The 12742-nt window shown below is 39.5% G+C and overlaps 1 protein-coding gene across 7 annotated transcripts in view; it reads left to right on the top strand.

Annotated features, from left to right (window-relative positions):
• LIFR (LIF receptor subunit alpha) overlaps nucleotides 1-12742 on the top strand; it is a 133736-nt gene that overhangs the window by 68969 nt on the left and 52025 nt on the right. For all 7 annotated transcript variants that reach the window (XM_017009463.2, NM_002310.6, XM_047417172.1 and 4 more), the window contains 3 exons: nucleotides 8769-8929; nucleotides 10595-10709; nucleotides 12141-12280. In XM_017009463.2, coding sequence (XP_016864952.1) covers nucleotides 8788-8929; nucleotides 10595-10709; nucleotides 12141-12280 — 397 coding nt within the window. In that variant the 5' untranslated portion in view covers nucleotides 8769-8787. The remainder of the gene's footprint in view (nucleotides 1-8768; nucleotides 8930-10594; nucleotides 10710-12140; nucleotides 12281-12742) is intronic.

Below are 12742 nucleotides of genomic sequence, written 5' to 3'. Positions count from 1 at the left end.
TTACAAAGATAAGGCTCTGATCTTAGCTTATAGTGGAAAAGAGGGTGGAAGGAAGGGAGAGAATGATTTCCATAATACCTGGTATGATAAGAACAATGCCTAAAGGGGAAATTGATGTCCAGTGGGAGCATAAACAGAGCACTGTGTCTGGTTGGACATAGTGGTCAGCATGAGAACCAAGAGGAAGGCCGGGCGCGGTGGCTCACACCTGTAATCCCAGCACTTTGGGAGGCCGAGGCAGGCGGATCACTAGGTCAGGAGATCGAGACCACGGTGAAACCCCGTCTCTCCTAAAAAATACAAAAAATTAGCCAGGCACAGTGGCAGGCGCCTGTAGTCCCAGCTACTCGGGAGGCTGAGGCAGGAGAATGGCGTGAACACGGGAGGCAGAGCTTGCAGTGAGCCGAGATCGCGCCACTGCACTCCAGCCTGGGTGACAGAGCGAGACTCCGTCTCAAAAAAAAAAGAGAGAACCAAGAGGAAGAGATGCCCCTAGGAAAGGAGTAGAGGAGGTGGAAGAAGATTGCGGAATAGACGTGTGAATTTTAGTGTGGACGGTTGTCTGAGCTGTTGGTGGGCCAGCCTTCTGATATTTGGCCTGGAGCTTCAAAGAATGATAGGGTTAGTGATATAGATGCTATTTAAAGCTTTGCAACTCACTATGGAAGATGGATTGTGTGAGGCCCTTGCCAGAGGGTTGTAAATTACGTATGCCAGAGAGTGAGGAGGGCCTCAGCCTCCAGAGCAGTAGAAATGGACTGGAGGGAGAGGATGGGGAAAGAGTCAAGGCATGTTTTAGGTAAAAGTGGCAAGTCAGGTGGGAGGTGTGAGGAAGAAGGAAGAGTCAGGGTTACTCAGAAGACACTGGTGCCATGGGCTAAGACGGGGCTACAAGAGAGCAGGTTTGGAGGGGAAAGTGAGCTTAATTCAGTACATCTGGAGTTTTTGAGGAATCTGAAATATCCAAGTGGATATGAAGCATCAGAATATTTTGTCATGCCTGAAGGAACCTTACTTGAGTGGATTTGTCTAAGTAAGCAAGAAATTGTCTAGTGAATGGTTAATCTGTAACTGGGAAGAGGCCAATCCTGGGAACACGGATTTGGAAGTAATTAGCATACAAGTGATGTTATAGCCACAAGCACAGATAATACTGTTCAGTCAGGAAGTGAAGGATAGAAGGAGCAGTAGGCTAAGGAGTCCCACCAAGGAAGCTAAGTAGGAATAGAATCTGAATGGCATCTCAAGTCAGTGAGAGAAGGAATGGATTACCTAATAAGTGGTGTTGGGATAAGTGGTAACCACTTAGAGGGAAACAGAAAAGGTGGGTCCTTGACTCAACTGTACACTGAAATTAATTTTATATGGCATGAAGCTTAAAATGTGAAACACCTTAAATGTACTTGAAGGCAACATCAGGACAATTTGCATAGTCCCGGCATGAGAAAAACCTTTATGGTTAGAAACCACAAAGGACAAAATAGAGAAATCTGATCTAGTAAGAGTTAAACAAAAGACTCACTGGAAAGTAAAAGCGATTGGGGAATCTATTTGCTATGTATGTAACAGAGTTAATATGCATATTAAGATTTTTTTTCTTAGCAATCATTAAGGAAATGATTAATGCCCAATTAGAAAAAGGAGCAAAAGAGAATAAACAGCTTATAAATAAAGCATTGCAAATTATCAATAAACATATGAAAGGATATTTTAATTACGCAATAAAAAGAAATGCCATTTATGGCCCAACAGAATAATTTTTTTTTTTAAAGACAATCCTTGGTATTAGTGAGAAGTACTGGGAAATGGAGATGTTCCTGTTTCTTTTTAGAGATAAGTTTTCGTCATGTTTTCCTGCATGTTAAAGATTTATTGGAGGAATGTTCTTCAGGTTGTTTAATAATAGAGCACTTCATCGTTAAAAGGGAAGAAACAAGTTCATTCGTTTGGTAGACTTTTATATTTATTGAAGACTGTTACATACCAGTCACTCTTATAGCGTAGTTGAAGTGGGATATGAGTAGTCAGATGTTACTCTAAAGTATGATAGCGTGAGTCCCGAAAGATGGAAGAATGGGAAATATAGGAGACATTGCAGGGGGCACTCCATTGGAGGCAGTGGTTTTGGGAGAGGCCTTGAGACCAAAGGGAATGTGGAGTGTTTGGGGAGCTGCTGCGGTATGGAGAGGAAGGGGTTCATGGCCGTCTCGAAGGGCTGTGCCCACAGTATGGAACTGGAACTGTGTGTTGAAACAGTGGAGAGCCTTTGGAGGATTTTAAGCATGGAAGTGATGTATTCAAACTTGTTTTGACATGCTGAGGTTCATAATGGACTGGCTCTTGAATTAACAGGGAAGTCCACACTGCAATGGAGATTACTAAAACTGACATGGAGGATCCTGAAAAAGAAAAACTTTGGAAGACAGTCTATTTTTAAAAGTTCCCAGGAAATGCAAAGGAATTAAGAAAAAAAAATTGACAAGATTATTCTATTTGAATAATAGACCAAAAAGTTATTTTGGGGAATGAATATCCTGCATTATGCACAGTGATAGATTTGTCTTTATAATGTAGCAAATGTTAAATTTCAATATTATTTTCCTACATGCAGAACGCATATTGAAGTATGATACAGTGGAATCCCTAAGCAGCCAAGCTATCCTCTAACTCAGGTCCCCAGACTGTCATAGTTCACAGTGCCCGTCGTGTTTTGTTAATGTTTTTTATGATGCTTGTAGTCAAAAGAATTACCTAACAGTTCTCTTTATGAAATAGCTGGGTCCAAACAATTTAATGAGTATTTATGATCAAGCACTTTAGTAGCAGTTTGAAGAAATAACGTGTATCCACTTAAAAGGAAAAATATAATTGTCCCTCTATCTCTGTGGGGGCACGTTCCAAGACCTTCACAGATGTGAAAATCTTTGGATGCCAAGTCCCTAATATAAAATGGTGTGGTATTTGTATATAACCTGTGCTTATCCTCTCATATGATTTAAATCATCTCTAGATTACTTTAAATCATCCCTAATACAGTGTTAATGCTATGTAAGCAGTTGTTAAACGGTACTTTTTTTTTTACTGTTTTTTTATTGTTGTACTGTTGTCTTTTATTGGTTTTGTTTTCTGAATATTTTCAATCCAAGGTTGGTTGAATCTGTGGTTGCAGAACCCTGGGATATGAAGGGTCTATGGTAGTATTTTTATTTCATTCTTAAAAAACCTTAATTACTGATGAGATGTGTGAAGCTATTGAGTACTGCATAGCTTCCCAAATCTTGGAAACCAGCACCCTCATTTCCATTTCTACATTGATTTGTTTGGGTAGTACTTGTGTTTTATCCCAGCAATTACTAGTCCCTCCCTCTCTTCACCAAAGATAAAGATACGATGTCACACAAAAAAATGTAGCATGAGCAAATATTGAAACTGTGGACTACCTTGAACTAACGGTTTTCAGAGTGTTGGACAGATGTCACTTTATTTCCTTCAAAAACTTAGATATTCTGTGATAGCTCTGTCAGTTTGCTTTGGTGTCTTGGGGTGCCTCAGTGCAGTTTGGGAGCCAGAGCTTTAACTTGGGTTCCTAGTGTTGGCAGTACCTGGGTTAGCATGCAGCCTAACAATGAAAGTATACTGTGTGGGCATATAATAATTTGTGCCTTGGTATTCATTCAGCCAGCTGGCTTAGAGTTTTTGGTGTCTGCTTTGTGCCAGGTACTGCTTGGACACTGAGGGTTACAGTGAACTCGGATGTGTTTGCTCTCAAGGATCTGACGGTCTGTAGGGAGAATTATAAGATTAGGAAGTGAAGCAGTAGAGCAGAAGTCAGCAAACTCTTTCTGTAAAGGGCCAGGCAGTAAATATTTTAGGCTTTGTGGACCATTCAATCTCTATCCTAGCCACTCAGCTCTAACATTGTCATGGGAAAGTAGTCATAGGTTATACTTAAACTAGTGGGCGTGGCTGTGTTCTAGGAAGATTTACAAAATCAAGAGGCGGGTAAGATTTGGCCTATGGAACATGAATTGTGCAACCCCATGACATAAATATAATTAAAGTGTTGTGGAAGCAGCAGCAGATGGCATCTAACCTGTGGACTCTCAGAGGCAATGACAAACATACCTCCTGCTAGGAGCATCACTGCTGACTTGAGGAGGGTGCAGATGAAATTAGCAAGAAGGGAAAAAGGGTGCTGGCCTAAGGAGTCCTGAAGGGTCTGGCAGCTGTGGAATGGCAGCCATTTTAGTGTGGCCCGGACACACAGCAGAGGCAGTGTGCAAGGCCTCTTTCTAGGTTCTGACTCCAGTTGTATGGATTGTATATTTTCTCTCTTGTTCTTTTTTGTTTTGTACCTCATTTTGGTCAGTCATGTCCTGCAGTAGCTTCCAGAGAATGGGTACACGGAAGGTGATACATCTTTTGACATTTTGCATGTCTTTGTAAAATATATGTTATCCACTCAACAGTTTGAGTATAGAATTCAAGTGTGAAAATAATTTTCACTTGTATTTTGGAAGGTGTTCTTTTTAGCTTTTATTGCTAAAAAGTCTGGTGTGTTCCTCCCCTTCTCAAGAATATTTATGGGTCACACACCCAGTGTCTCATGTACACCCGTAACCTGCTCTGGAGGTGGTGCTGTCACCATCCCTGTGTTACAATGGGGGTTTGTCCACACTCACACCGCAAGTCACAGAGGCCTGACTTGACTAATTTATTCTGATGTTGTTCTTATTCCTGAGCCCTTGTGTATGGCCTCCACTCCCTGGAAACTTGTAACATCTTTGATACAGATATTTTGATATTCTCAGTGATGCATCTTGGTATCAGTCTTTTCAGATTCCTTGTGCTGGGTTATGTGGGCTCTTTGAGGACTAGATTTTTGCTAGGACTAGACCTATATACTGATAAATTTTGCATACATCTTTGTTACTGCAGCTATGTCCTAGTTAATCTCCTTGAAACATCACTTTGTTCCAGCTTCCCTCTTTCTGAAAAGCTATTCATGCCTTCCTGTGCAGTCTAGTCTTCCCAGATAGAACTTCTCAGTCTGGCCAAGTGTATGTTTTTCGTAAGTATTTCTTTCTTTTAACTTGAAGAGCCCCTACACTTCACTTCAATAACACAATGGAGTCTACCAAACTGCAGAGTTTATGATCCTGAAAAGCCTTCTTCACTGGGAGCTAATGCTGGAGGAATTTAAGATCTTGTGGGAGGGAAATGGGATAAGGAAAATAGTTGCTGGTCAAAGTTTTTAAACAATGTTGATGTTTCCTCCTAGGAAACAGTAAAGAAAGGGACACTAGGAAGAATACAAATGAGCAGTGCGGGTACTGTTTACTGCCTGTGTGATTGCACTTGTTTTGCTCAACTCCCAGCATCTCCACTCCTGTGGATGGGTGACCCACTCGTAGGCTTATTTACCTTTACAGTAGTTCAGAGTCTTTTCTCCCTCGAGTGTTCCAGCTTAGTATTTAATTTCTTTTGAGAATTAATGACAAGGGAGTCATCTTATTGTATGGCAAAAAGATAGATTCTTGAGATAAAAGATGCTTTGGGCTGTCTTGATTCCTTTCACCCTGACTGTGCAGGTGTTGCCTGAGGCCTCCTTCTGCACACAAGGCTGGAGGCCTCAGTGCCACCAGGCTAGGTTCGTGCCAGCAGGACATGCTAACTCACTCTCTGTCACGTTTCCTGATCTGTCTCTACCTACCTGTCCCCACCACCGCCACCATATTTATGTATATAGAGAGGGGTTGGGGGACAGGGGAACAGAGACAAAATAAGCAACAAAATGTGTTGGGACTAGTTTCTGGTATTTAGCTTTACTTTTCTCAACTCTTTTTTTCTAATTTTCTTCGGCAGAAAAGCCCTAAACCTCATGTACACTGGAACCAGAATTCTCAAGGTTGAGAAAAATACAAGTCAAAGTACATGTGTGAACACTCATCTTCACAAACAAGGCCTTTAAAAGCTCAGGGGCCCGTGTTGACAGGACTGAACTTTGCCATGTGGGGCCCCAGGCTCAAGTTCTGCCTGTGCTTTATGATGGTCTAAGATTGAAGTCAGCATATGTGTAAAGAAATAGAACCAGATATTTTTCTTTCCATTCAACAGTCTTACAGATTTATTCTGCATGATTACTTTTCTTTAGCAGAAGGGTTTATTGACTTTTTAAGTCCTTTAAAATAATTAGTATAGGAAACAAACTGGTCACCCTTGGGCAGGAAGGATACTGCCCATGAGCATATTTTGTCTGGCCTTTAGAATGTGTAAAACATATGCATTATTTTCTCACATTTACAAACTTTGGTGTTTCATTTAAAATGCCAGATTTCTACCTCATCTGGAAAAATCAGCATATTTGGCAAAATGAGGCTGGTGGCTGCCACTTTTATGCTAGGCAGAGGGGCTGCAGTTTGCACCTGCTGTGAACACGTTTGTTACTTGCTTTGCCCCTGCATATTTGCATTTGCACCCTGTTGCTGCATCCTAATTTTGAAAGTTAGCTCCTGAAATCGTATAAAAATTTGTGCTCCTCTAAGGAATAAGGCATTGACAGGGGAAAAAAGTGAATTCTGACAATGTTTCTATCAGGAGTGAGCAGAGAAAAGCTTCACAAGCATCACTTTTTTTCTGAAAGTACTTCGGAAGGCTCTGTTCATGTATTGTTCTGGCCCACAGTAAGTCCATTTGAAAGTTTTGCTTGGTGGGGAAGTCTGATGTGTTATAAGCACAATATTGTATTGCCCAAATAGACTTGCCCAGAATTCTCTGTGTAAATGTATCACACCAGAAAGTCTTCTTTATTATCCTGCTTAAGTTAAGCAGGCTTCAGTGACACTGCCGTTGATCCTTCTGTCCCTGGGCATCGCCTTCCTCCTGCTTACTGACCTCCTCAGCAGAGTCTTTGATCCGTGGCTGTTGCTGGCATAGGCTTTGTGCGAGCTCGCTACTGTCTGCGTGCCTGTTCCCTGCCAGCAGGAATGGAATATTACAGCTTCGCTTTGGGAAGTCTCTTATGTGGATCCTGAATAGAGAGCATGCCTCTCTGCTCCAATGGTTGAGGCTGAAGCAGGGAGGGATTAAGTGATTTACCCTCAGCCATACCACTAATTAGTAATGGAGCCAAGATTAGCATCTAAATCTGGAAGCACCTGGTCCAGAGCTCTTTCTCAGCTGCCTCCCTCCGCCCCTTCTTGCACTTCTTCCTGGCATGGCTGTAGGGCCTGTGTCTCTTTTTAGAATAATCGAAACTTGTAGTGAGGGACTGTTTCATTTCAAGATAATGTTTAGCCAGTCAGTGAATATGGTTTATGATTATTTTAGTCAGAGTTTGAGTTTTAGGGTCATGTTTGGCTCCATTACTCAGTTATTCTTGTACAGTTGTATAATTCTATAAATTCAGCAACTGGCATTTTAGATATTTTGTGAATACATTTTCATTCTACTAAGTAAACTCAATGACCCTGGAATTGACTAGGAAGTTATTCATTCATCCAGAAAATAATAGAACACTTTTGAAATGTGTGCTCACGCCTTTTGCATGTTATGGTTATAATTAAGCTATTTGGGATTCATTTCCTGGGTTTTTGACAGTACTTGACAGTAGCCGAGAAGAGATCTTGCCATCTGCTTTCACTAAGAAAAATATTTTTTCGAATTCTCTCAATGGGCTCCAGTTATTTAGGTGTTGGATCTCCTTTCCTTTATCAAGTCTTCATTTCTTATCTCTTTTCCCACATTTTCAATTTTTTTTTGTATTTTGTTCTGAAAGATTACTCAATCTTTTTCTTATTTTAATTTTAATATCAGACAATATGTTTAACTTCTAAGAGCTATTTTTATTTCCTGTTATTCCTTTTTCATTGCATCCTCTAGTTTTTTATAGTTATGCCATGTTTGCTCAGAGGACACTATTTAGAGTTTTTTAGGTTCTTTTTTTTTCTTTTAAGTTTTCTTGTTTCCTATATCATCCCCATTTTCTCTGGAAGTACTTTTTATTTTCCTTTTGGTTATCCTAAATTTCTCTTTAATATTTTAGCCTTTGCTTATATGTTTTGTGATCTTTGGTGCCCTGTGCCAATGTTGTAATAAATGAGGCAATTTTAGGTCTGACACAAGAGTTTTCAGTGTATCATAAGGATCTTGTTGGCTGGTGGTGTCCCTCTAGGAAGAAAGGATGAAGGGTGGATGGGAATTTCATTACTCTGGGGGATCCCTAAATGTCCAATGTGCAACATCTCCATACTGTTACCCTAGTTTTTTCTTTTTAAATTATTAAATTTGTATGAAATAGAAACTTTCCAACACCATGTAAATGGGAGACAAAACTAATATAACTTGTCATAAATGACTAAACACAAGTTAACGTACTAATAAAATACATAAAAATATCAATCCAGGTATCACTTAAAATTGTCAAAAATTCAGTCTCATGCACTGCTTTTCTACATTTTAGTAGAGTTGGAGTAGAGTTGATAGCCATGTGCTTATAATTTTGTTGTAATTTTATAATTATAGTTATGATCTTTAACTTGAAGCCCATCATTTGAAAATTGGCCTCGTAGTAGATACCTAAAGCAACAGCTGTGTCCAATTATTGATGTCTCCACAAGCCAGGGAAGCTTGAGTTTGAGTATCTCCAAAGTCTCTAAATGTACAGTGTTTCAGAATCTGTCAGAATCTATTTGAGTGTTTGTGTGCACAGTATAAGGTGAGCCTTCAGAACAATCTGAACACCATCTGGAATTCCTCTCCTAACCTAGGACTGACTGCATTGCACAGATGATGGATATTTACGTATGTTTGAAACGACCATCCTGGATGGTGGACAATAAAAGAATGAGGACTGCTTCAAATTTCCAGTGGCTGTTATCAACATTTATTCTTCTATATCTAATGAATCAAGTAAATAGCCAGAAAAAGGGTAAGTGCATCAGCCTTCCAGAGAATGAACAGATTGCAGTTTTATTTCCATTTTGATGACGAAGCAATTTTGTTGCTTTATTGACCCCTTTAGGATTTTGTTGGTTAAAATTCATTTTTTTTGTCATCTTTTTTCTATGTACTTTTAGTTTCTTTTAAAAAGATCCTTAATGATAGATCAAAATATTATTTTACCATGAAAAATTAAAATATAATTTACATACAATAAAATTTGCCTTTTTAAGATTCAGTTCTGTGAGTTTTGACAATGAATGTAGTTATGTAACCACCAGCACAATCAAGATAGGGAACAGCCCCGGCACTGCAAAAGCTTCCTGGCTCCTCTGTAGTCAGCCCTCCCAGGCCCATCCCCTGCCAGCACTGCCTTGTCTCCATAGACACTGTTTTCTGTCTCTATAATGTTACCTTTTTAGAATGTCATATCAATGAAATCCAAATATTTTTAAATGTATTATGTTACATCTTAAATATATTAAGAATGTTTATGTAGATATTTTATAGCTTATTTATATAAAGAAATTATCATCCTCCTGCCCGTTGGTTTAGTTTTTATATTATTTCCATATTTAAATAGATCTCTTTTCTCCAAGGTCATTCATTAAATTACTTTATTATTATGATTAGTGCTGCTTTATAATGTGAGTACTTTTAATGTAATATTTGTTTTTCTGTCATATAAATAGCCGTATAATTTATTGCTACAGTGAATATCGTACCAACCATGTACAAAAACAAAAACATTTTTCATAAACATTTATAGAATCTGAGATGGACTACCTTTTTTATTCTATAGTTGCCTTTTCCCCTTGTTTCCCTCCTTTCTTCCCTCTTTCCCTCTCTCTTATACCCCCCTTCTTTTTACTCATTTTCTTTTCGGGGTGACTTTTTTCATTGCATAGTGCTTACATATTCCATGGTGTAATGTTATTTTATAGATGTGAGTAAGTACTAGTAGGATTGTAATCTTCTGAATTGTTACTTTCAATTGTTTAGGCCCACACCAAAAATATATTTCTCAAATGAACTCATGAGTTTATTACTGTTTAAATTTAATATACTTCATAATAACCTAAAGATTAGTTATGGGAGTTCTACCAAGGGGGCAGTCTGGTAGCAAGCAATGAGGTGGGGGTGACTAGGAGTTTCAAAGTTTTGTTTAAAAACTTGGAAGGCACATCATTTTTACTTAAGACTTCTTTGTTTTTGTTTTTTGTTTTTTCCTTAAGTGGGGCTATTGAAGATTCAAGAGGTGCTAGAATCCCCTCAAGCCCTCTCTTGGTCCCATTATTGAATCTACATGACTAGCCACTCACTCCCTTAATTTGTCTTAGTTGCTTGGAAGTGGAATTTTTGATAGCAGCCTAACCCCAAAATGGTCTAGTAGCTGGCCCACTTTCATCAGTTTACCCTTTAGTTGTTTTTTTTTAACCAAAGCTGCAAAAAGAAATAGAAAACCAGTCCACTCCCATGACTTGCAGGATCATCTCTTTGAAAAAAAAAAAAACATGGGCTCTCTGCAGACACACATGCTTGTGCTTACAACTGAAAATGGTTGACTTTTTAGAGTGCAGTTGACTTATTCAGCATATTCTGTGTTTATGTGTGTCTGTGTGTGTGTGTGTGTGTGTGTGTGTGTCTCCTCCAGGGGCTCCTCATGATTTGAAGTGTGTAACTAACAATTTGCAAGTGTGGAACTGTTCTTGGAAAGCACCCTCTGGAACAGGCCGTGGTACTGATTATGAAGTTTGCATTGAAAACAGGTAATTTTAATTTACTTTAATTCACAATGAGCTAGGTTGAATTGCAGAAACGACCCTCAGTTCTTACCTTATTGCTTGTGAAACTAAAGGGTTATTTCCTGCTTGTGTTCTGTGTCCAGCAGAGTCTGCCGTGACCTCTGCCTCATTTTTCTCCTGTAGGGCACCAAGCATTATGAGGTGTGATGGCAAGGTGAGAAGAGGGGACAGAGTCTGCAGTGGCTTTCAGTGCAGATCTGGTAGATAAGACTGTCACTCAGATTTCTGCCACCAAATAAAGCCACATGGCCATACCTTGCTTCAGAGAGGCAGGGAAGGACGGTCTTAGTGTGAGTCCAGAAGGGGGAGCCTGAAAAGTTTGCTGAAGAGCACACATGCCCACCACAGGCCAAACAGAGAGGAAGTTAGTTCTGGCCCCCTGCTCCCCTGGGAGGTCACAATAAACAAATAGTAGCAAGGCTGTGGTTTTTGTGCAAGGGAGTGGACACTAGGAGTATGAATGTCTAGAAAGGCTGTCAGAGGAGGTGTAATTCTGGAGTAGGCACAGTCAGTTTTCTCAGCAGAAAAGGAATAGGAGGACATTCTACCCTGAAAGAATATTGAGTACAATGGCTTGAATGTATGAGATGGCGTGATTTGGAGAATTCAGGTGTTTTTGCATTGCTGATGCCTAAAGAAGCCTCACCATGTGAGAGGTTTAGAAGGAGATGAGCTGGACCCATTCAAGTCCAGAGTCCTAAGCACCCAGCCCTAAGGCTGGGGCTGGGTAGTTGGTGGGGGCAGGAATGCAAGAGGCATGGAAAGTCCTTTCAGTAAAGTAAACATTTGTATAAGAAGTTTGAAACATATATGAACAACAGTATAAGGAATATAAGCATGCTCTGGAGAGATATCAAGGGCTGTGGAACAAGAGAGGAAAATATCATTTTGCCTAAGAGATACCAGGGGAACTGGAAGCATTTTGAAAACAGAACTGAAGAGGAAGTTCTGTTAAGAAGAAACCATGAGCCAAGGCAGAGGAGCAGGGGAGTTGCCAGTTTCATTTCCTTCATCAGCATCCGTTGAACATCATCCTAGCATGAGGAGCGCTGTGATGCACTGGTCCCTCAGTGAAGGGGTGGAGTGTGAGTAGTGGAAGTCAGCCTACAAAGGGAAGGTTGAGGTGGGATTTTGAAAGGCATGCAAAAACTCCAGCTGTTTGGAGTCATCTATGCTTATTCTACTTTTGGTACAATGAGGTTGTTTTTCCTACCCCCACATTGGTAAAGTTACTATCAATCTGTTTTTTCAGTCTTAAAATGCGGTACAACCTATCATGTTTTTGCAACAAAGAGGGCATAAAGTATTTTCCATTGTATTTTGTGTTAACCAAATTTTTATGAAAATTATACTATTAATTTTATTTGCTAATTAAAATTCAATTTCTTATTACAGGTCCCGTTCTTGTTATCAGTTGGAGAAAACCAGTATTAAAATTCCAGCTCTTTCACATGGTGATTATGAAATAACAATAAATTCTCTACATGATTTTGGAAGTTCTACAAGTAAATTCACACTAAATGAACAAAACGTTTGTAAGTATTTGAAAACAAACTCAATTTTAAAGTAAGTCAAGTGTCACTTGTTAGTATTGTGGTGCTTTCTAGTTTTTTGAATTTCATGTGTTATGCTATTACTTTTAATTCACTCAGCAACCTCCCTATGAATTGTAGATGGTAGCCAAGATCAGAAGGAAGCAAACTTTTCTTCTGGCCAGTCAAAATAGCCCAGAATTCAGGCTCCTTCCCTCAGTTCCATACTCTTTCTTTAGCCCCCTTGACTCCTGCGTACCTTCCAGAATTTCTCAGATGCCCCTTGCTCTAGGGTGTAGTCTTATCTGGGAAGCTACTGAAAAATGACAGTATTAGAATCAGAAAGGCAAATCAAGACAGACTGTAGGAGACTCAGTCGATTAATAGTTCATTGTGTTTTACATATCATGTAATGTATTGGTAGCATTATAAATAATAATGGTCCTGATCATGATTAGAATAACA

The sequence above is a fragment of the Homo sapiens genome, chromosome 5 (assembly GCF_000001405.40).
Source record: "Homo sapiens chromosome 5, GRCh38.p14 Primary Assembly".
Classification (NCBI taxonomy): Eukaryota; Metazoa; Chordata; class Mammalia; order Primates; family Hominidae; genus Homo; species Homo sapiens.
The sequence above is the reverse complement of the archived record's forward strand: the minus strand, read 5'-3'. Positions and strand labels throughout refer to the sequence as shown.